The sequence below is a fragment of the Homo sapiens genome, chromosome 2 (genome assembly GCF_000001405.40).
Source record: "Homo sapiens chromosome 2, GRCh38.p14 Primary Assembly".
NCBI lineage: Eukaryota > Metazoa > Chordata > Mammalia > Primates > Hominidae > Homo > Homo sapiens.
Genome location: NC_000002.12, coordinates 198,061,154 through 198,087,381, shown reverse-complemented (window position 1 = coordinate 198,087,381; position 26,228 = coordinate 198,061,154). Strand labels below are relative to the sequence as shown.

The 26,228-nt window shown below is 35.3% G+C and overlaps 1 protein-coding gene across 4 annotated transcripts in view; it reads right to left on the bottom strand.

Moving 5' to 3' along the window:
• The window catches only part of PLCL1 (phospholipase C like 1 (inactive)), a 345,271-nt gene that overhangs the window by 62,482 nt on the left and 256,561 nt on the right, over positions 1 to 26,228 (bottom strand). For 3 of the 4 annotated variants that reach the window (NM_006226.4, XM_005246643.5, XM_017004339.3), the window contains exon 2: positions 1,150 to 3,624. In NM_006226.4, the coding sequence (NP_006217.3) occupies positions 1,150 to 3,624 (2,475 nt within the window). Of the gene's footprint in view, positions 1 to 1,149; positions 3,625 to 16,346; positions 16,365 to 26,228 lie in introns of those variants that run through there. The other variant, XM_005246644.5, reaches the window with a different exon arrangement.

Sequence of the window (26,228 nt, the reverse complement as noted above, 5' to 3'; positions counted from 1 at the left end):
TAAGTATATTAAGTAATTTTTTTTAAGTTTACCACTGTCTCAGATTATAAGCATTAATGAAGGAAAGAAAACTTAATATTGAATTTCTAAATGTTCAGGCTAGTCAATTTCCATATACCCTAATTTTACTCTAATAATAATTTTGCGATAAGTGTAACTATTTTTCTTACCTTATATGGAGAATATTGATGATCAGAGACCTGAAATAATTTGTTCAAGATCGCACAGGGATAGATTTGATCAAGAACCCATGTTCTTTCAATTAAACCACATTTCTAAGACAAGGTTAAATATTTTTCAACCAGTTTGAGTGCCAATTTTTTTTGTTTAGTTTTACTTGTTCTTGTGGGGAGTAATTTATTATTGTTGTCATTATACCTAATTTAAAACTAAAAAGTAACCTAATAGACATTATGCTTGTTTTATATCACTTCAAATTCTTTCATGATCATATATGCAAATATGTTATATATACACTGGTAATTAGTATGTGTATGTTTGTATAAATTTTTTATGTATTACACACATATATTGTATATTCTACTTGGTTCCCATTGTTTCAGATGCACATTTCCATATATTGATTCAGTTTTGTACTAAGGATATTTAATATACAGCATTTTGCTACATCTTAGTTCAGTCCAAACTTAACATAGCATTCACAGTTAGAAACATAAAATATATCTGTTTTATCACAGACAATACTGAACTTAGTTCAATGGTACACAGGTTTACACATCTTTCTTTCTTTTTATTTTGAGACAGGGTCTTGTTCTGTTGTTGCCCAGACTGGAGTGCACTGGTACAATCACAGCACACTGCATCATTGACCTCCCAGGCTCAAGTAATCCTCCCATGTCAGCCTCCTGGGTAGCTGGGACTACACGTGCTCGCCACCACATCTGGCTAACTTTCATGTTTTTTAGAAATACAGGGTTTCACCATGTTTCCCAAGCTGGCCTCGAACTCCTGGCCTCAAGTGATCCACCTGCCTCAGCCTCCCAAAGTGCTGGGATTACAGGAATGAGTCACCACACCCAGACTTAAACAATCTTTCTGATAAATTTTTGCAAATCAGATTATTAATAAAACATTATACGGGTAGGAATAAGCAGGGATAGGGAAGGAGAGTGTGAGTGTTTCTCCTACCTGCATATTTTCTCTCATATCTATGGCTTCTCGTAATGGATGAACCGCTATTTTAAAGATGTCATCAATGGTTTTAAGACCGATATTCCTGAGCATGGTATATTCCCGAACTTTCTTCCCCATTCTCACTGAAAGACTGCGCTTCTGTGCCTTTCCTCCTCCACTTCGATTAGTTATTGCTATGTGGACAAAAAGGGTTACGTGCTCCATGATGTCACCCACAAAAGAACGCAGGGGAACATGCCGATATCCAGGCTGCAAACATTCAAATGGTATCGTATATTGCCCTATAAACTCATCCCCAATGTAGTCATCATCCAGAACAACAAAACGGATCATGGCCAGCTCAGGTAGGTTTACTTGGAACTCAAAAGTTTCATCAAAAATAGGATTATCACTGTTTTGCTGTACAGTTTTAGTTCTTTGTTCCGAACAATCCGCTGGAATTCCGTGTATCTCTATACAAACATAGGGATCTATGACATCCCCTTTGGCACAAGCTCCCTTGGGCTTTGGGAAATTCTGACCACTGATGATCTTGATATGAAGAGCTAGAGGAGACACCCCAGGTAGAATGCCCTTTGTATTTGCGCTGAAGTAAGAAACTTCATCTCGCATTATAGACGGCCTTAGAACATAACCACATCCCCCGTTTTGAAGAAACCAGCCCGTGTGAAGGTCCATCATTGGACCCGGAGTCTGAAAATTCATTGCTACAATCTGACAGCCACAATTCCAAAAGTCCTGTGGATTCAAGTTACTGGAATCGATCCTCATGGCACTTGGATAGATTCTTGATAAGAACTTCTTATTATAATTAACAAAATCCTCTGGGTACTCATTTGCAATGCGGCTGGCCTCTGTTTCACTAAATGAACACATTTCCCAATAGTTTTGGCTTTTCATAGATAGTTCAAAATCCCTGTATTGAACAGATTTACAAATAGACACCAAATCAGAGAGCTCCCTACAGAGTCGGATTTGCTTCTGCTCACCATTGTAATCTACCGACATCCTTCGAGACATTTCAGCTTCTTCATCTTCATCTGTTACTTCTCCTTCTAACACATCTGGATCAGAAGGCAACTTCTTTCCTTTCACAATGATCATTCTTTTTAATTTTTCTGGTGATGGGAGGTAGGATTCTGAGGGCAAAGGTGCTTCAGTATAGAGTTTATTGCCAAAGACCTTTTTCATCTGTTGAGCCATTACCTTCTGCTGCGGCAAGGAGCAGTGATTTCCCAAGCAAAGAATGAGTGGGTATTCAGAAGCAACAAAGGCAAATTTATTTATTACCTCTATGACACTTCGAAAGGAAACATGGGTTGTCATGTTATTTCGATTACAAAGGATTGGTTCATTATCTGAACCATCACTTACATCGAGTTCAACGCTTCGACAGCCCATTTTCAAAGCTCTAATGTACCCATTGATGTCAGCTGGCCCCCTGAACTGGTCTTCTATTAGATAGGTGTTATGAGAGGCATTGATATAGTAGTGAGATAATGGCTGGGTCATATCTTGGGCAACCTTCTTTTGCTCAGGATCAAAAATGTCACATTCTGATGACAATAAATACTGGGTAAAGCCATCAATTGCAAGAAACCCTTTTTGACGTCCCTCTTCAGAAAGTTCGTATCTCCTTATGATGTCTAAGCATATATCCTCGGTGATATGGGTGACTCCTTGCTCAGCTTCTAAAAAGAGCATGAGATCATTGGCATCCAAATATTCTTTGTTTTTAGATATCTGTACAAGTAAGAAATACACTTCTGGCCTGGTGCAAAGTTCACAAAAAGCTTCACAAAATTCCTCTTCGGTCACGCGGGTGGTTAGTTTTTCCTTGCTCTTCTGGATTTCTTTAAACTTTAACCTGATCTTGGCTTCCTTCAGAGTAGGGTTGAGTTGTTTTATTAACTCTACAGAGGTGTCTTCCAACATAATCCCATTCCCATCAACATCTGCTGCTTCAAACACTGTTTTCAACCACATGAACCGTGGTGTGTTCTGGTTGCCCTCCATAAAATCAAGAGGCTGCTTACTTCGAGAAACCAGGTACCGTAACCCAGACACCCAGATGTTTGCCACATCTGCTGAATTGGCAACTAGGTCCAGAGACTCATAGTTTTCCCCGTGGAGTATGGAAAAGGCACAGTCCTCACAGATCTGGTCAGCAAGGCCATTGTTTCTAAATGTTTCCGTGTTTTTCCCCAGTCTGATCTCTTTTATGGCAGAAATATCAAGCTTGGCTTTCTCGAGGTCTTTCTTTGAAGGTTCCCAGCGAAGAGCTTGAAGGTCTGTGTCCAGAGTGAAAAAACGGTTGTAAATGCGAGAATTTGGCCGGACTTTCTTCAACTCACAGCCAGCTTGCATGAAGCTGATGCAGTCATTTGCACTGCTAATTTTCTTTTCCGATGGCATGCTGCTGAAAGACACGGTTTTCTTTCTTCCACCACATTTTTGGTTTGAAGGATCCTGTAAAATAATTTGAAAAAAATGAATCAATTTCCTTTAGAAAACAGACAAATTCAGTAACACTCTATGAACTCCTCAAACTTCAATTCACATATTGTGATTATTTGAACAGAGGCTACCCTAAAGTTTACATTTTCACTGTTTCAGAAAAGAGAAATTGCTAAGAAAGCTGAAATTACAGGATTCAGGCAAAAACTTATTTTTCAAATGCCTATGTGGCCTTTGAAACAAAATCAAGTATTAAGTACAAATCACTCTGATTTGTTCATTAAAGCAGATTTCTTAAGAACCTCATGCTGGTGCCTCGACTACCTAGCTCAATTCCCAATAGATACGTAAAAGAAATAAAGCTGTATTTTTTTAAAGGTTTCCTCATTTATACTCTGCAACTTTCTAAAGAGGTTTTCTTAAAGTTGATTTAAATAAAAGGTTTTACCTTAACATACTTTGTATCACAAAGTGCTTAACTGAACAGCTTAACTAGAAATCACGTTTTTTTCCTGAAGCTATTTCAAGGTGTCTTGAAAGTCAAATTGAGAGCTAACAATAGCCAATCACTCTCATTTGAGCAAATTTTCAAACTGAGGTAAACAATTTGATTTTAACATTATAGGAATTCACGCCTGCATTTCAGTGCAATGTTATTAGCAGGCACAGCTTAAACCAAACAGAAATATGAATGGCTCTACTAACTTTTTAAGGTTCTTCCAATATAAGTTAAATTTCAAAGCCCTTTGCCAGAAGATTTACAGGGAACACTTGCACCTTGTAAATGCCATTTCTGGAAGTGTCCTTGGATCTTAGTGTTACAGAATTCCAGTTTCCTCAGCCCATTTCACCCTTCCCTGACCAACAGGGCCAACAGATCATCAAACTCCATCCATTCAGAAGAGGGTATCTTAAGCAGGTTTATTATTTTTTGAGGCTGTTTCCTTCTTGATTGTATCTAGGCCTTCTCACCTATCGTCCTTCCTAAAATATAGTTCCAGTCCCCTGAATACTCATGAGATGATAGATTTCATTTCAGTCTTGGACCGTTCACTGTGTCTATCATTCCCAATTCATTTACACTGAATATCTGACTGATGCCACTTACACTGGGTATTTCTTTATACTAGTCTCTGTTCTGACCACAGACTCAATTAATGATGCTCCCAACCACATCCCAATTCACGTGATTGCCCCAGGAACAAATTTTCCAAAAGAGTCGTAATGCATGTTTACCATGCCCAATTTTATAGGGCATGCCAAAGAGTCAGCAAAATGTAGAGTGCAAAGTACCTTGTCCTTGGAGCAAAAATAACTTTTTTTTTTTTGACAGAATCTCGCTCTGTTGCCCAGGCTGGAGTGCAGTGGCGTGATTTCAGTGCAATGCAACCTCCGCCTCCCGAGTTCAAGCGATTCTCCTGCCTCAGCCTCCCGAGTAGCTGGGATTACAGGAACGTGCCACCATGTTCTTGAGTTGTAATTATTCCACTCCCTAAATATATCACCTTGAGTGAGTCACTTAACCTCTCTCAATCTTAATTTCTGATAGGAATTAATAATCTTTTCATATAACATAGTGTCATTGTGAGACTGAAAAGAGAAAATGTGCGTGACTGTTCTTTATAAACTGTAAGCGCTTGAAAGGTTATGCTTTTCAAAGGAAGAGGAGCATTGCCTTTTACACCCAGTAACTGTAGGACTATGAGTAGGTACTGACCAGGATATTGGGTGTTATATAGAAGTTAATTCATTCCTGACTTCCGAACATTTCAGACAAATCTTCGGTGATAAATTGAAAATATTTTTCAAACAACCACATAAGATTACTATTTCAAATATTGAAAAGTATAACCAAAGTAGTCTGGACCATATCCTTCATTGGAAATATTTTAAAACAGGGTAAAATATCTTCTTTGGGGCCTCATTTCATCAGTTCTGCCTACAGAAGCTTGCCTATCCTATGATTCAGAAAAGACAGGATAATTTATTATTCAATTGACTAAAACCCTACCCATGAAAAGGAAACAAAATTTGCTTTAGTTATGAGATGTTGGTGGGATGATTCAGTGACTCCAATTTATATCAGATCTTCAAGTGACAATGATATAAATTACCCAATTTAGATTACAGAATATTGCCTGTTGGTGCCCTGGCATTTGACAACTTAGCTCCTGCATTTACAAAGAGTTGCTGTTTTTAATTATCCTATAGTGGTCAGTTTCCTCATCCTTAAGTTAAAAAACATCTATAAATCTTAAGCTATTTATACACAGATGATCTATTAGAACACATTTAAATTTGTCACAACCCAAATGCTCAGAAATATCAGATGTTTGTGTGTATTTTTCCACACCATCAAGGCAGGCACCTAATGGCATTGCTGAGACAGGATTAATCTACTAATTAAAATAAAGAAGAAAACTGTGAATTCTGATGGTAAATGAGACTGTGACTCAGCTTTTAAAGCTAACCATTTCATTTGCCTTTTAAGCTAATGAGAGCTTTCACATTAAAAATGATTTTTATATAAGCAGCTCATGTTCCAAATAGAATTGTTGTCAGCAGAGTGATAAAATCTCTAATAGTTTCTAACAAATATTAAATGGGAAATTAATGCTACTCTAAATGAATGTATATGGTTCCTATACCCCAAGTATGATATTATGCTAGCGTTCTCCACAGTCTATCGCCCTGCTACTGACTTGAGTCACTGTTTATTTGTAAGAACAAAACCACTCATGTCAGAATAGCTTTCTCTTACAAGGCTCTTCTCTGCCATATCTCCTTAAATCAAGACATTCCCTCCTAGAATGCCAAGCCTTCAAGAAATACATGTTTTACATCTAGCCTGCAAAAGAATCCACCTGCCCATAATGCTTATTTCTTGCTTTGACCCACAATTCCTACATGATTATAAAACTTATATCAAAATCCCACCTAAAACTTGGAACCAGTAAAAAGACATGATTCTTAGGTTGTCATTTTACAAAGGACAGAATCCAAAGTCATTACAAGTCTCCAAATGAGCTAAAACTTGGCCAGAGCATGTGTGAACGAATAATTATCTTGTCTGCTGATGACTACAGCCAAGATTACGTACATTCAAAATACGCTGGAAAAGGTTCAGTTGTCTGATATTTCTCCAGGTCTGTCATAGGAAAGGACAATGTCTGGATTCAGAGAGCAATCACGCTGTTCTTTCAGTAGCCATGCTATTGGCTCTGACAGGTTGGGAGGAGGGGAGATGGAAATGGTGCCTCAGCGGACTGAAGGGTGGACGACTCCAAATCTCCTTCTAAGCTTCACCACCACCAGAGTCCTACACCCCTACATCTGTATTCCCTCAAGAAGATCTTGGCAGATTGATGGTGAGAAAGTAGGAATATTAAGGTAAACAGACTAGAAAAAGTTGAAGGTTGAGTATCAGTTTTCCTTCTTGGTAAATACAAAACATAATTATGATGATGATGATTGAATGAGAGTCAATTCTCTCTTAACACAATTCAACTATACACTTAAAAATGGTTAAATGGTAAATTTTATGTTGTGTATGTATTGGGAAGATGGGTACTTTTGGCACTTTCCAAAAGAAACCAAGTTTATTATCAGTTCAGGTGTGCTCCAGCCAATGTGTAGCTCATTAGATGACTGAACTGATTCCAATGACCATAACATCTTTCCAGGAGATTTTTATAAACTACAAGGTCTTTCAGCTTATTTCAAAGCTAACTCTCCTCACATGAGAATGAAGGCAAGAGGCTGAAGTACCAATACCCCTTCCACCCAACTCCTGCCCCACAACCAAAGTCTCTCTTTGAGCAGCTTACAACAAACGCTTTAAATTTATTAAGATAAATAGTGCATTGTCATGCCTCTGTCCCCTAAATTAAAGCTTAACCTCATATTGTAGTTGAGTCCAATAATTAGTCAGACATTGAATTCAATCCTTTCTACTTCCTAATATTCTATGCATAAGTCTCCAAATTATCATTTCTCAAGAAAGGAATCACATTTAAATAAGTTAAATTAAAAAAAATTAACAAAATTGGGTTTATATGGTCTCTGAACATCTCTAAATAATATTTCACATTTTGGATCTACTGTCTTTTGAAATTATTCAATATCTTATAAAGGATTCAATCATCAGAATCAAGAAGAGTCTCATGAACTAGTAAAGCAATAGACAAATACTTTTTTGTTAAAACAACACAAGATTGATTTACCTATGAGCACTGTTTCTATTACATTTATATCATAAAGATAATTTCTATCTAATCTTATGCTATAATGTCTGATTTCTAAACTCAGAAATCATTTCAAAATACAAGGGGAAAATGGCCAAATGTCTTTTTAATTTTTAAATTATTTTCTACAACACTGTTGCTTATCTACTACTGTTAGGAATAGGATACCAATCATGATTAAATGAGACTCGTCACAACAGCAAAATATTTTCAGCTTCCTAAATATTTAATATTTTTAATAATTGTATTAAAATATTTAATAATTTTATTAAACTAAAATTGGAAACAAAGTTCAGATAAGCCAAATTAATAAACATGTTTCCATAAATTCCCATTGACATTTGCTCTCCCTAAGCCCAATAAGATTGGATATAATGCAAGCTCCTTAATCAAAATTAAAAAAAAAATCATTTTTCTTCAAAACACATTGATAAGCCCCCAGAAAACTCTACTTATTCAATACAAGTTTTGGATCTCAATCATGAAAATATCAAATTATTTCAATATAAATTCAGGAAAAAGTATACTGAAATTGCACAAAAAATGTGAATCTACCTAATGCTTATACACTTAGAAATGGTTATGTACTTAAGTGTACTTACACACTTAAAAATGGTTAAATTGTAACTTTTATGTTATGTATATTTTAACACACAGGGAAAAAATGCACACTGAAGCATTGTACAAAAATTTAAAAGTGAGTAAAGGAAATACCAAGCCCAAGCTTCCCTGCCTTTGACCTCATGAGCATATTTAAATATCTAATTATATCATCACATATACTTTTTGGTGTTTTGGCAAGTTTTTTTTAAGCAAACAGTTCTAAAATGATTCTTTGTTAGAACAAATTTACACAACTCTAAAGACTAGAAATCAAAACACCAGTTGTCAAACTGTGATGAGAAGGAATCTTTGTTTCATAACACTGAACTCCAGCTACATAGTGTAAGGGAGGGAAAGATTTATATTTGAAAAGTTCTCTTAAGAAATTATTAATAAAAATTTAATAGATTATACTAAAAGATAAGCATATAGGCACATAGGTTTGATTTTCACCATACAGACCCTATCTGTTCATATATACAACCTATACACTATAAAAATATGCTATTCATTCTGGTTTTGTGAAGTTCCAAGCAAAACTGAGAAACAAAAATTTGGTTGATACATGACATTCTCAAAGGATGGTAGACAATATACAATCTAGAATCCAGATAACTCCAACCTTGGATACTGAGAAGCCTCTGGTCTTATTCTTCATTTATTCATTTGACAAACAAGAATAGGTACCTACTCTGTGACAAAGTCTAGCACATTACAGAGTTTGGAGGAAACTGATAAGGTTTCATTTTTATCTTAGATATATCACTCTGCATATGTGCTAAAGGGATTTGATACGGACAAAACTGAAGATGGTACATTAGATGACTATTTCATTCAGCATTACAATAAAGAGATAGTGATGGCCTGAGCTAGATTCCTAATAAAAAGGATGAAGGTATTAGGTAGATTAGGAAGGTATCCTAATAAAAAGGATTCCTAATAAAAAGGATGAAGGGATTAGGTAGGTTCCTAATAAAAAGGATGAAGAAGAGTGGGAAATATCAAGAAACATGAGGTAAAACAACTTCTTGACTGAGTAAAGGATGACTTCTAGGTTTTTGGTTTGAGTGAGAAGTGAGTGGAAATATTACTAAATGAGGTATGAAATATCAGGGGAAGTGAAGTTGAAGTGGAAACTAAGTTTACTTTGGGCCATGGTGGATTTTACATGACTATGGGCCATCTAGGTGAAGTTGCCCAATGGAAAGTTGGATATATGAGTCAAACCTCCAGGGAGAAGTCTGGGCTGCAGTTTCAGTGTTGGAAGTTATACCCGTAAAGGGATAAATAGAACCTTGAGCATAGTACAGTCACCTATTAAATAAAAGCAGTTAGAGATGAGCTAAACCCAGAGGAACACCAGTATTTAGAGGCTGGGCAGGAGAGAAGACCTAAAAGAAAAGAAGAGCTGAGGGGTAAGAAAACCAGGAGAATGAGCTTCCACAGAAGCCAAGACTAAAAGGAAAGCGTGTTGGAAATTAAGATCTGAAGATAAGCTTACTGAATTCAGCAGTTAAGCAGTTACTGCTAACTTGGGCAAGAGAATGTCTTATGTTCCTTTTTTTTTAAATTATTATTATTTTTTATTATTATACTTTAAGTTTTAGGGTACATGTGCACAACGTGCAGGTTTGTTACATATGTATACATGTGCCATGATGGTGTTCCTTTTAAGATGCCTAGGATAGAGAACGAAATGAGACCCAAACTGCTGCCATGACAAGACTGAGAGTAAAGGGTTCCAGGGAAGGAACAAAAGTCCTTCAGTGGGAAAGACAGCCAGGATGGCTACTACCATATACTAAGTGAGATAAAGTGGCCCCAAATGAGACCGAATAACAGGCAGAGGCAGAGAGTAATAAATCCAGGAGAGGGCTATCCTCAAAAATGTTGGCTCCACTAACCTGGATTGTGATCACAGAATGGAATTCAGTTCTGATGCATACATTTTGCCTTTCCAATGGGCCTATGCTCAAAATCACATCCATGTTTGGCAGTTAAGTGTTCTGGAGAAAACCCTTACCCATACACAAGGCCTAACAGTTCACACAAAATTCAAGATGGTGGGAGAGATGGGATCATCACTGTATCTGTTGCCTTCAAGTTTCAGAAAAGGGAAGTCTGCAACTATAGAATTATACCATTAATTTCACGTTAAATTTTCCCAAGTTTTATTCCCATGGTCAACTCCAGTTACTTAATGCAGAGACACAAACAGGTGATGCACTTATTTATGGTTAATACCATGTGACTTACCCAGGGTCACTGTGATGCAGTGGGAGTGGAGGTCCTAATGGCCACTATTGAGAAGTAGCTGAAGCATAACCCAAGTAAACCACTGGCCTTCCCTAGTGGGTCCCTTATTGGTAAGGATCTGAACAGTTATTTTATGATCAATAAAAAAAGCATTTATTGTCTACACCATCTTCTAAGTCAACAGAATTAATTAAAGGCAATGCTAAGTGTATGCATGCAAGTTTCTCTAGCCAAATTAAGTTCTATGTCTGAATTTACCATTAAATTTTATTTATAAAAGGTGATTCATTTAATAAAACGCACTAAAGCCATCTCCTTTAGGAAACCCACACTGATATATACGCTGTGGTGGGGATGGGATACTAATTAAAATATGGGCAGCCAGTGACCCTCTAAATTTTACACATCTTCTCTGAAATGACTCTCTTCACTTGGAAGCAAAAATAATTGATGTTCTACAGGCAAAGCTAGTGATAGAGTGCTGAGAAAAAAAAAAGAGTCCATTTCAGAGTGGGTAGTTAGTACCATTGATTTGTTTTTGTAAACAGAAGAAGCTTCCACTGTGCTGTACCTCACTGCAATCATTTGCTCATTAGAACTCATTAAGAAGGGACAATCTAAATAAAAGTGATTATCTCAAGCTCTTCTTCTGTATAGTTTCCATCCAGTTAGGGTTTTTCTGCAAGAATGATTCTTATTATACACATCCAATGGATTATTTCAAATACAACTTCCATTTACACAAAGATTGACTGAGCCCCTACTCTGGGCTATGCATTGTACAAGTGATTTGTTCTTTAAAAAATCATTAATCCCAACACTAATGTTGTCCGGAATAAATTTTAATGTATGAATGTTTGTAGCTAATTAAATCAGTAAATAAGAACAAAGATCATCAAATTTAATAATTAGAGCAAAATGTATAAAGAATGTTTCTAAATAAACAATAAAAACAGCTTTAAATAACATTAAAGATGTTCATGAGCCAAGCCCACAAGGGAGCATAAAAGGCTGATGAGGCCTATTAAACAGAAGTACTACGTCCTTTGTAGTGTCAGCTGCTTTCATGTAAAGGCCTTGTCTCTTATTTTAATCTTGTCATTCTCCTCTTGTATCCTTCCCAGTCCACTGCTTCGTACGCAGTTATGAGATACGTGAACTTCCATTTCTCTAGTCAACAACATGGTCCTTTTCACTAATCCCACTGCTGCATGCAATGCGTAGTTTTGTTAATACTGTGCTTTAGCTGCGTCAATTTGAACAAAATGAGGGTGACAACAATAAAGGTCATCTGACGATTTATTCAGCAGCCTCTGAGGAACGACTTGCGGCTATCAGTCCTGTCCCTCTAAGACAGATGTCTGCCTCATCCTCAAAAACAATACATTTAAAATTAATAGGTAGCCTGCGCAACTCTTAGCAGAAGTGCCAAGAACCAAGTGGGCTTGGAGACCGAGATACGATTCTGTCCTTCCTCAGGAGACCCCTGCACAGCAGGGCCCAGGAATCCTGGCGGAGCTTATGCCAGCACTGACTGTTGTTTCTGGTGTGAGGATTAATTCGATGTTCTCTTGATGGAAAACAGGATGTCATGTCCCTTTAAAAGGAAAGTCAATGATGAAGTCTAGCTAAATGTATACCTTTAATACCTACATGGCTAATACTTCTCTTTCAATGTATTGTTATAAAGATTAAATGTAATGCTCCAATTATTTCACAGGTATAAACATATAACTTGATGCTTAATTAGGGCATTCATCAGAAAATTATATGTAATTAGGTAGGCCTTCAAATAGACGCATACTTTTATATTTTATTCTAATTAATGTTGCACATTTACTTAAAATACTTTATCTGAAAAATTAAAATATCAACGGGAATAAGACATTATTAAATAGAGTTCATGTCACGAACATTCCTGACAAAATTTCCCACCTCTCTTTGTGTCCTATGTAGTGAGTTCACAGAATCGTTTTTCCTTCCTTGCGACTTTTCAGGGGTTTTTTTGTTTGTTTGTTGTTTGTTTTTGAGACGGAGTCTCGCTCTGTCGCTCAGGCTGGAGTGCAGTGGCTCGATCTCGGCTCACTGCAAGCTCCGCCTCCCAGGTTCACACCATTCTCGACTTTTCAGTTTTTAATGGTAATATTTACCCCCAACTATGACACACCAATATATTATTTTCATTGATTTTAGTCACTTTGGAGTCCAAATATATTCTTTAATCATCTAAATTTGAATTAAGCATATTTAAAACTGAAAAGGAAATACCCAATGTGCTTCAATATTATGTGAGTTTTGCCATTTATTATCATAGAGTGTTATTGGAGCTAAGTTTTAGAACAGATGTGATTTATAAAAATAAGAAAATCATTTACAGTTATACCAGCTTAAGTGGAAATAAGAGACATAATTAGCCTTTCTTCAGAGCATAAATTTTCATTAATGAGATAGTTTGAAAAATAGTCAATTTCCAGGAATTTATGGTTTTCTATGCAATATTTGGTAAGGACAAAACTCCAGGTTATATGCATCACTTACAAATTCAACTCAATGACATAAAATATATAACGACTAGTGGTATTTCTTAGAAATGAAATCAGTTCTATTGTACTGTACAGTAATATATACATGTAGGTTTTTCATTACAAAAAATATTCTGTAGAAGATTTAAAAACAGTGAATTTACTTTTTAAAAACATTTTATAAATGTATGTCACTTGGGACAAGGAGACTAAATTTCAATTTCAATTTTTAAAAAACCTAATTCTATTCAAACTTAAGAAATAATACATTAATAGTCTAAACTGATCTTTCTCTAGATTTGGAGAAGTCTATTCTACCATTTAATAAATTGGTGTATATATCAACAAATGGACTCCTTCTTGCATTTGTATTAAGTCTGTATTGTAAAACTGACATTTAAATTATTTTAAACTGCCTAATTGAATCTTTCTTTTGCAACAAACCCCTTAAAGCAATCTCTGAGTTTTCCATAAGACAGATCTCTGAACCACATATAAAATACAATGTCAATTATCTTGACCCAATGCTGTGTGCAAACACATCCTTAATATGTTTTCTCTTAATGACAATAATAGAATATGTCCTTTGGGACTAGCTATCATAGAGATACAGAACCTTTGGCTCAAATAGCCAACTTGGTTTCAACGTCAAGATGAATCTGATTAAAGGTTTTAAGTTTTACCCATAACTTCCGGAATGGGTTAGAACTATCTAACACTTTAATCCTTATTGCATTACCTCTGATTAACTGAACATCAGCATCTGCTCATGTTCAAGGAACAGATGGCAGATATCAGAGAATGAATATTCTCAGCTCAGGGACTCCTTTAGGGTGAACTCTCCCTCACCCCCATTCATACCCAGTGAAGCCTCCATGGTCAAAATGGAAACAAATTCATTCTCTCAACTTAGAAAAATGTAAAAGAAAACTACATAAGCATAGTTTTTATTTGAGATAATAAAACTCAAAGTCCATAAATATCGTACTGATAGAAATTACTGAACTAATTAAATTCCTTCTCTCCAAACCAAAGTATTGGATTAGAGATTAATAAATTTTACTCACCATTACCACCTACTTGCATGACTTTTTGCAAAGCAAATTTCTATGTCTATAATTTTTATTTGTCAAAAAAATATAATTCCTAGCCTGATTCATAGGGCTGTGTCAAGGAAAAAAGGAAATAAAGCATGCTAAAGTACTTTGTAAAACATAGACCACAATCTGATAAAATTCCAGAGAAGTGAATTATAGATCTTTTTATGAAAATAAGTAAGATATGGCAATGTATTAAAGAAATATATTCTTCAAAAAGTCAGATTTATTCCAGGAATGTAGGAATGAGTCAACATGAGACAGTCCATCAATGTAATTCAATAAGTAAATTGGTTAAAAGAGAAAAACAATTGTTCATAACTGAAACTACCCCAAAGACATCTGACAAAATACAGTATCAATTCACAACAAAACTCAGTAAACTGAGAAGAGAAGAAAACTTCCTTAACATAATCAAAACCATTTCAGAATCCTAGAGAAAACATTTTACCAACTGCTGAAGATTTAGACGCATTCTCATGAAAATCAAAAAGCAAACAAAACAAAAAAGCCCACTATTTATTTACTTTATATTTTAATATAATTTTGGATAGTTAAGCCAAAGCAATAAGATAAAGATAAGAAATTAAGCGTAAAATATTGTAAAGAAAGTGACAGATCATTATTACTTGCAGAAAATATAACTATTTACCGAGAAAATCCCAAAAGATCAAATGAAAAACTTATTAAAACCAGTAAAAGTGATAGTGGCAAAATATAATATAAATATAGAAAAATTAATAGCTGCCTTATATGCCAACCTGTTTCTAAACATAATGGCAGGGGTGAATGGGGGTGAGAGGAATCCCATTCAAATCAGTAATTAAGATTATAAACAAGTCAAGAATAAACTTAACAAGATATGTGCAAAACTTATATAATTTTATTTCACTTAAAGTTAAAAGGAAAAATTAAATAAATAAAAATGTTAAAAATTACCAAAAACATACTACTGGCAAAATTCAAATTCTTCACTAATTAGCAGACAAATACAATCAAATTGTAATGAAAAGCCCAATGGGATAGTTTCAATGGATGCAGTTGTAAGAGGCATTTTAAATAACAAAGGAAACAATACATTATTCAATTATTAGTGTTAACGAATTGAGTATTCATTTGAACAAAAAAGCTAGATTTCTGCTTCATGTCAGACAAAAAATAATTTTAAATAGATTAAAGATTAAATAAAACACAGAAATGCTAGGAAAAACTATAAGAGTATATTTGTATAGTTTTGGGTGAAGAAGACCTTTTCTTAACAAATATATTAAGACCAGAAAGCATAGAGGAAAAGATTGATAGATTTGACCATATAGAAACTTAAAACTGTATTGATATTTTTTAAAAAATTGAAACTGGAAATATTTGCTATGTGTTTCTTAATTTATAAAAATTGTTCACAAACAAATTTTGGAAAAGACAAATTCACAAAATTATATAACTGTTTAGAGAATATATAAAAAGATGCCCAAATAATTATACATTATGTATATATATATGTTTACAAAGGTATAGACAAATAAAATGACTATTTTTACCTATCAGATTACTAAAGGTAGGGAAATGGAAATTTTTGTACAACAGTACATTGAATATAAACTTGTACAACTTTTCTGGAAGGTAATGTAATAATATATTTTAAAACATTAAAGATGCATCTACTTTGATCCAGCAATTTAATTTTTAGGAATTTAAAGAAATCTGAAGGAAATACTTGAGTAAATGAGCAAAGATATAAGTAAGAGGTGGTTCACTGCCATGCTGCTGATATTTTAAAAAGTAAGTATAAACTAATAAACTAAACATCCATTCCAAGGACTGGCAAAATAAATTATGGTACATTACATGTAACAGGATCCTATACAGCCCATATAATGGGTGATGCAGACCTATAAATCTTAAAATGCATTGTGTGTGTGTGTGTGTGTGTGTGTGTGTGTGTGTGTGTGCATACTTAAAAAGCAGATAACAGAAGAGTACTTATAGTATAATATGAGAGCTTGAGAGCTTACCATTTACCTATGACAAGTCTGGAAGAATATATTCCAATTGGTGATAGTGGTTATCTCTAGAAAAAGGGAGCAAAATTATGGAATTTTCTTTCTCTGTATTGCTCAAATTATTTAAAATTAACATATATTAGCATATACTATGAGAAAACATATTAAAGATATTTGCACATTAAAGACAATTAGAAAGCATTAGTCCTATAATTACCTCATGAATTATCAGAACAATAGATACACTTTGTAGAGATTAATGACATCCATCTTTTTTAAGCTTTTTTGAGTCATAAGTAGAACGGTTAAAATTTCAAAGAGCCCAGGAGTTCAAGGGCTCTTTTGAAATTATTTTTATTAAAATAATTACACTGGTGTTATTTTAGTTAAATACAATATTTGAAATATTTATTATTCTTGAGAATGGTCAATGCACTTCTAATACAATATGTAAAAATAGCCCTTAAATATCATGTCAGACCTCTGATTTGGAAATTATTTTAGTATCTTACATTTTAGAACTAATAATATTAGTTAGCTGTGGTGAAAAGAATGTCCAAAGCACAATTCAGTTTTATAATGTATCTGGAAAATTAGTCTTATAAATATTTAAACAATCAATTTGAATGAAAATGTGTATCTTCTCTTAAATCAAATTTTTTCTACCTCTAAGGTTTGAGAGTAGATGTAAGCATATGAATGTACCCAGAGGTGGAAAAGAAGGTTAAACTTGAGAATTCCTTACTAGATGTTTAAATCAATTTGATTTCAATTAAATGCACTCCACTGATAATAAGATTCAAATCTGCTATATTGAATTAGGATTTAAGTATATCCCAAAGTATTGGGCTCAGTAAGAATTACATATAGGTTACAAGGTCTTTTACCTTTCAGAGCATACATACTATTAATAATTATAAAATTTCAACCACAATCATCAAATATAGAATGTAGCCTTAAAAGCTCTCCATCAGGTGAACTTGGCCTATCCCTCTATTTTCATGTCTAGATATGTAACTACAAATTTGCCTTTGCATTCCGCCCCGCAACACACTCCCAAATCTTCAGAAAGTATACATTAGTTCACCAAAAAGTCTTTCATTGTCTTCTAATCCACATTCCTTTATTTCTTCTTTAATAGAGGGTCCTTATCTGAACTCAACTAATCTCACTCCACAAAATAATTTCTGCCCATCTCTGCCACTTAAAATACTCTTCTACTAATTGTACTTAACTCTACATTTAACATGTGAAATCTCAGGACATTCAACTAATGAATGCAATATTACACTCAAAATGTTACTTAAAATAGCAGATATTTTCTGAATCATTTTTACACTCTCAGGAAAAATATAGTTGTCAATATATTTTTTCAAAAAACTAAATCTGCTCAATTACCACCAGGCTTATTGCCTCCTGAGAATATCTGCAGAATGAGAATATAATTATAAGTAATAAGAAATGGTAACTAAAATAAAAAATGCTCTCATAGCCCATGTAAATCTGAGCCAAATTCAGGTGAAATATTAACACTCAATTCTAGTGCATATTTTTTATTTTGGTCAGGGTCTTGCTCTGTCACTCAGGCTGGAGTGCAATGGTGGGATCATGGCTTACTGCAGCCGTGAAATCCTGGGCTCAAGCAATCCTCTCGCCTCAGCCTCCCAAGTGGCTGAGAGTATAGGCATGCATCACCACTCCAGGCTGTTTCTTTATCTCTGTAGAGACAGGTTCTTGCCATGTTGTCCAAGCTGTTTTCAAACTCCTGGGCTCAAGTGATCCTCCCGCCTCAGTCTCCCAAAGTGCTGGGATTACAGGCATGAGCCACCGTGCCCAGCTCTGGTGCATATCCTTGTGTGTTGGTTCACTTTAAAAAAAAAAAAAAACTGCCAGGTGGCTTACTTTCTTGGCACTGAGAGAAGTTTACAAAATCTTATGAAATTTGAGTAGTTATGTTTGCTTATCTAGGCAATTTTTTTTATTTTTTTATTTTTATTTTATTTTATTTTATTTGAGACAGAGTCTCACTCTGTCGCCCAGGCTGGAGTACAGTGGTGCAACCTCAGCTCACTGCAACCTCCGCCTCCTGGGTTCACGCCATTCTCCTGCCTCAGCCTCCTGAGTAGCTGGGACTACAGGTGCCTGCCACTGCGCCTGCCACCACGCCTGGCTAATTTTTTGTATTTTTATTAGAGATGGGGTTTCTCCATGTTGTTCAGGCTGGTCTTGAACTCCTGACCTCAGATGATCCGTCCACCTCGGCCTCCCAAAGTGCTGGGATTATAGGCGTAAGCCCGCCTCAGTGGCAATTTTTAAATGGAATAAACATCACACTTGTTTGCAGGACTATAAGCTAGCACATACTGATCTCTAGGCTATCAATTTGTCTGAACACAAAGATATTTAACACACATTTGAATTGTGTGTAGGGTGTGGTTGTTACATAAGTTCATTCGTTTTACTAAGGGATCTTGAATTCCATTTGTTGATGAAACTGACCAGCACAACCCCTGAGAGGATAAATTTCTAATACATCTACTAATATTATCTGAAAAGAATAAGATATTTCACCTCAGGAAGTGTGAATCCCATGATGTAGAAATAAAAGAAAAATATTCACATTACACTTTCTTCTTTAGTATTTAATCATAAAAGGATCATGGGCAGCAAAGATTCCAAGCCATGCAGGGTCAATTAAATTAAATTTGTTTCAAAATAATGTTTCATCTTTTAGATCTCATTTAAATTATCAGCAAAAAGAACGTTAAAGTCATTTATTTCTGTAGAACTGGTATAGTGACAGGGAAATAAAGTACTTAATGAAACCATTTATAATCTATAATCATTTTATTAAAACAGCATTTCCACTAAACACTTTACAATGAAAAAGTATAGTAATTTACAAATAGCTTAGGGACTGAGCTCTAATTAATCTCTTTAAAAAAAATACTTGACACCTCAACATATTTATACTTTATTAGCTTTGCTATCAGGAAACCTTGTAAAAAATGAGAAAGGCAATCCATAATGAATTCACTACACTTAATTTCATATTATCATCCCTAGGTGGTTTCTTAATAACACTTGCATGAATTGAGAGAAAGTGACAGCTAGTCTTATCTATGAGAATGACTGTGTTCATTATTACTTTAAGAACCTCCAAGTAAAACCACTTTGTGTTCAAAAATGAAAATCAAAATAAGGAGGGTAAGAGCATCTCACCTTTCTAAGAAGTTTTAATTTTTTCAAAGGGTTTCCACATTTGTTTTCTGTTGACATCTCTGAAGATTTGAGATGAGAAAATGCAAGACACAGGAGACTGAACAACATGCCAAAAACATAAATCAGTGGCAGAGTCAGATGCCAAACCCAGGTATTTCTAGTCCTGGTGAAATTTTTTTCCTTTAAGTTTATACTACCTCTACATTTTACTACTATGCTTTTCTAGTTCCAAGTGTATTTTCTCACCCTTCACTACGGGAAGGAATACAAGTTTTACCATTATTGATATTTTCCCTCACTGAATGTTGAAAAAAAAGAACTGTTACTTACACTAATTATCTCTTCCCAACAGTGCTATATTACTTGGCAAAAATGCCGCTCAAAAAGAGGGCCACAAAGGCCAGGTGCGGTGGCTCATGCCTGTAATCCCAACACTTTGGGAGGCCGAGGCGGGTGGATCACCTGAGGTTAGGAGTTCGAGACCAGCCTGGCCAACATGGTGAGACCCTGTCTCTACTAAAAATACAAAAATTAGCTGAGTGTGGTGGTGCACACTTATAATCCCAGCTACTCAGGAGGCTGAGGCAGGAGAATCACTTGAATCCGGGAGGGGAGGTTGCAGTGAGCCGAGATTGAGCCATTTCTCTCCAGCCTGGGTGACAAGAGCAAAACTCCGTCTCTAAAAAAAAAAAAAAAAAGAGGGCCACAAAAAAGAGGACATGGTATGGAAAATTCTTCATATTTTGGAATATTTGAAGTTCTTCAACATATATTTATGGAGTCCCAATTTAGTGTCAAGCACTGAGCTGGATATATAGTGCATATACTGTAATGGCACCTGTAGGAGAAAGATATATTAAAGGATAATCACACAAACATGTAATTTAAAATGATAAGAACTGCTCTGAAAGAAAATATGGAGTATTTTAGGTAGAGGGGAACTAATTTAGACTGGAGTGGGGTACTACGCATCCCCTGAGGAACTAACACAAGCTAGGCAAATTGCCAGGCAAATAGTGTGGGAAAAATATTCCATGCAGAAGAAACAGCACGGGAAGATCCTGAGGAGACTCCACTAACACAGGCCCCTACAGCAAATGCATAGGAGAGGAGGGAGGAAATGAAATGAAGCTGTGGCAGGGGGCTGTAAAAGCCATTTTTTATAAATCTGGAATTTATTCTATGGAGGTTTTAAGGCAAAGAAGTGAAAGTTCTTACATTTTCAAAAGAAAAAATATATCTAGCTGCTAGAGAATGGATTTGGAGATACAAATTAATGGAGTAACCACTTGGTGATTGCAAGAGAGTTCCCAGTATACTGAACTAAGGTGAGAACAAGAGAAAAGTGGATTTATTTGAGGAGCTACTGATGAACTGGGTTGGGAGCAATGGGGAGAGGGAGAGAGGGATCCCCAGATCTCTGGTTTGGGCAACTGAGAGGCTGGAGGAGCTGCTTGTAGAAACAGAGAAGTCTATAGAAGGAACAGATTTGTAAGTGGCTCTAGAGTATTAAGAATACAATTGTAAATAAGGAACTAGATCCTAAGATAAACCCTGAGTTCAAGGTAAAAATTTGGGATTTAGGAACTGTCAGGTTATTAGTGGTTTTCAAAATCATGGGGCTGAATGAGATAACTTAAGGAAAGAAGGCAGAATAAAAAGAGAAGAGTACTTAGCAGTGACCTTTGAAAGTGCAGAACATTTTGAGCTTGGTTAGGAGAAAAGCTAACAAAGGAGAGGGAAAATAGTGGTATTGGTAATCTCAGGATTTCCACTAAATAAATTATATTCCTTGAAATTTTCAGTAATAATAATTTGTAACCCTTGATATTTGGTATAATTAGGAATTTGACACGATTACTAATATTATATAATAAAAGTGAACAAGCTATTTAGAAATAAAATTGTTCATAACACTTTTTCCTTGTCTCAAGCTTAAAGAGATATTCAACTTAAATGTAAAAATGGCATAATATAAAAATCCCTCAGTGTCTTATCAACACCTAAACTGGCAAAAGGCAAATTAAAAACATGTTTTACATCTAACTTTGTATCCAAGGTGAGGCAGAGACTGATATTTTCCTGTAGTTTAATCAAGGGAAAATAGGCCCTTTAAGTTCTATTAAATTATTTAACAGCCACAAACAGATGCAATAATTCATTGTTGGCAAAACAAATCATTTTCTCTTCTTTCTCAATGCCAATAAAGCAAACATTCACAGGCACTTAATCAACATCCTTCCATAAGGCCAAACAATACAACCGTTTTATGAATGACAAAGGAAACATACATTAATAGGGTGACAGAATAATGCATCATTGATAAGCCAAAGATTTGGGAAAGTTTAAAAAATGATTCTGAAGGATATGGAAAACAAAAATTTACCATGATTCTGAATGTGCATGTCATTTCATTGAATTGACATTTATCAAGCAATTGGTGGAGAGAATTCTGTAAGAAGAATTAAGTTATTTAGACTTGAAAAGCTTTCTGACTTATTTATTTGGTCTGGAAAGTTGAAAGCCTTACTCATCCTGGATTGAGAGTACCCCTTGGACTAAAGAAGTTTTTTTAAAGAAGTTTCCTAAAGTATTCTGGCAAGGTGGCAACTAAACCAATCCAGAAAGGACTACCACCAAAGAAAATGAAAAACTTAGATTAATATTATTCTGATTTGCTAAAAATTTCCCTTCCTTCAAATAGAGTGGAGCTTTTCTCTCTATCCTAATCTTAGAGGATGTTGAGTGTGTCCATTATTCCCTACAATGCAGTCTACAGAATGTAGGTTTGTGTATTTGCATAGTCTATGTTCTTGAAGACTACATAAATCTTAGCTGCCCCTCAGTCTTATTCTGTATTTCAAAAATCCTAATCCCTTGAATTTTCTGTCTCCACAAGCTTCTGTCTCCATAAGCTTCCCTATACCAAACGGTCCACTGAAATTATTTGCTCCAACAATTCATTTGCTGAGGATAAATGGGTGCTCTCTTGTCTGCAAAACATAAAGACTTTCATTCAGTCTTTGCTTTAAATTAGTTAAAATCCTATAGAAGAAGTACAGTCATAAATGAATCACAGTTAATAATTAATACAATTTTGGCAAAGTTCCACAAAACTAAAATAGTACTCTCCTTTTGGCCCTGGAAACAAATTTTACTTAAATTTTCAAACATACTAAGACTATAACAATGGTGCGGTTAGTGGGAATCAATAGCTTCCTAGATTTTGTAGTTAAATTTGACCTCAACAAAATGAAAATTATTAAATTATATAGAATTTCTAATAGATTATAAAGTGAACATTTTAATTGTGGCTAAGCCTTAAATTACAAGCATATCAAATAGAGAATAAAAACATAAAGTTCACTGTTATTTGCACTGGTAATATGGACAAAATCTATTAATGCCTAAGACAGGATAGAAATGAAGATTTTTTTAAGTTGCAAACTAACCTCTGTTAAATTCCCGAATTAAGGAGCTCAATCTGATGAATAAAATAGTAACCTAGTCAGTAAATCTAAGTCACATTTGACTTTTGATGAGCTTATGGAAGGTAAACAAACTAGGATATAAGGCACTATAATGGAACTTGGAGGACTAGGGACTTATGTTTTAGTTTTGTTAATTGCTCCATCCTTAACACCTACTATTATTATATGAACTTTCTTATTCACAGGTTTCTTGCCTGTCTCCCAGAGCTCCCTGAGAGTGGATATCCCCAGTACCTGCCACCATGCCTGGCACCTCTCAAGCAGTCAATAAATACTTGTTGAATAAAAGTTTGTAGAAATCCCATAGCTATGTACTATAATGATTACTAGCTTATTGAACATTCCTATGGCAACAGAACGGGCCCTAAGAGGTGAAAGCAAGATTGGAACCCAGATATCTGACTCCTGGAGTACTTGCTCTTAACCAGTACTCCAGGAGTTCAATTCTGTGGGAACACTATCTCCACATAAGGCTTCTGCCTGAACATTGGATTTTACACCCAAATTGGCTTTTCTATTTCAAATCATCAGAGAGGATAAAAATACTTCCCATGAAAAGCTGATGGAACACAGTATACAAATTTAAATAATGGTATGAACCCTAAATATGATGGCTATGTTTCTTTCTTAGAAAACTAAGTTTACAAATATGTCATTAGTCATGTGTGTAAAAAGAGCAGGTAGCAATCATTTTATCCTCACTGACATGAAAAACAGCTCTCACATGATTGGTTTCTCCATGTCAACATTATTTTCCTCTTTTCAGTATCTGAACTTTCAGAATCTCAACAGTAATGATTCAGACAAAGCATTCAAATTAATCAATGCTATCATACTTGTACAGCCAAGTGACCTTTCTCTTCTCCTTGCAAAGTAAACAGTTAGCTTGACTTTTAATACATTCACTTTGAGTTTGCTTCTGATTATGTTGTTTTGCTGGGTTCTGGTTATTCTAGGACACAGTTATTACTGTGCAGACCACTCACTCTCCCTTGAACCTACTTATCAGCCTCCTCCTTGCTCTCATTTCTGCCTCCTTCTTCTCGGTTTCCATCTGTGCTCCATATTTATTCAAGGTAGCATTTAAACCCAAGCATAATATATATGTATGAGTGTATAAATTTATTTAAGGATATTTTAAAAAATTGAAAATAAAGAGGAAAAAACTCAGTAAAGTATAGTATTAAGTACTTAGTATAGTATTAAGTAACTATACTAAAAAATTTCCAGCTATTAAATGAGACTGGAACCCAGATGTGTCTCATCTCAAGACTACATTCTTTCCACTACATCAGTGGTCCCCACAGTGTGATCTTTGGACTGCCAGCAACAGCATCACCAAGGACCTTGTTAAAAATTGCAGACTTTCAGACTCTACACCCACTGGATCTGGGGGTGGGGTTCAGAAATTTTGGGTTTTAATAAGACAAGGGTGATTCTGATACACCCTTAAGTTTTACTGCATTACATCATTGGTCCCAAACTTACCTGATTATAAGAATCACCTGAGATAGCTCATTGACTTAGTATATTCCCAGGTTCTACACATCTGATTCAGTAGGTTAAAGGGGGGAGGCCAGGAATTTATTTTTTTTAACAAATGATACCCTAGGCTCACCCCCAAGTGATTCTTATGGTCAGGAAAATTTGAAAACACTGCACCAAATCAGAATATTCAACTTCATACACTTATGAAAAAAACTAGACATTGCATTTAATTATATGATGGCTCCATGTTAAGAATATAAGGATACTGAAACCGTGTTTTTTCAGCACTTGAATTTTAATTCCATTGTTAGTTCAGAAAAAAAGAGGAAGGGTATTGCAATATAATAGGGAGTCACCACTTTAAATGTGTTAAGAAATATTATTTTACATAAGCAGTTCTAGAGAAGTATATATAATTGAGTTACGTATAAATTGTAGGTAACTGAGAAAAGTCCAACCTCCATTCAAATATACAGAAGTTAATAAAGAAGCTTTATTTGCATAATAAAGGATTTCTTCCTTTAAGAAAAAATTTATCACAATTGTCTTGTATAAATTTGGAGCTCCCCTAGAATAGATAAAACTTGTCTTTTAATGCACAAAATTTATCAGAAAGGATAATCTTTGCCATTTCAAAAAAATAACGTGTAAATGAGACAAATAATTTGAAGGGCAGATTTGGAGCAGTCTGGGGCTTCCTTTGAATTTCACTTTATTTCCTGGAATTAGGCTCCAGAATCTTACCATGTCCTAAACAATTCAAATTTCTGACTAATGAATTGTAGCAGTTCAATGTACTCAGATGAAGAGGAAGGGAGCCGTCATTTATTAAAGTCCAACCACTGCCGTGCTAGACAGGATGGAATACATTTCTTCTCAGTATTGTGTAATGTGTATGGAGGAAAAAGTAAGAATCAACGTACCTATTGACCCTTATAATACATTTGCAGCCAGGCTCAGTGGCTCACACCTGTAATCCCAGCACTTTGGGAGGCTGAGGCAGGCAGATCATGAGGTCAGGAGTTCGAGACCATCCTGGCTGACACGGTGAAACCCCATCTCTACTAAACATACAAAAAATTAGCCAGGTGTGGTGGCACATGCCTGTAATCCCAGCTACTCAGGAGGCTGAGGCAGAAGAATTGCTTGAACCCGGGAGGTGGAAGTTGCAGTAAACCGAGATGGTGCCATTGCACTCCAGCCTGGGCGACAGAGCGAGACTTGTCTCAAAATAATAATAATAATAATGACGATACATTTGCAATGGAGGAATGATTTGATAATTCCTAAATCAGTGCTTCCCATTATCCCAGATCATATACCAATGAAGCCAGCTTCTCTAGTTCCCCTTCCCTCCCTTCCTTCCCCTCTTAGGCAACAGCTGTTCCTCTCCCTGCCCACCCTCCTTCACTGCTGGGGGCCGTTAAAGAGGATTCGAACGGTTAACATCCCTTTATAATGTGTAGGTAGTACAAATCACACTGGAAAACAATATTCACACCTCAAGCATTTCCTAGTGTTCAAGAAACAATAGAAATTGTATCGGTAAGATATAAATGTATTGAAAGTTACTAATTAACAGAGTGCACGTTTTAGATAAAATGTTCACATCTTTATAACACACCCCTACTCCCACCATGATCAGTGGCTTTCAGTAATCATTACTTTCACTCCCACACACTGAGTTCCTAAT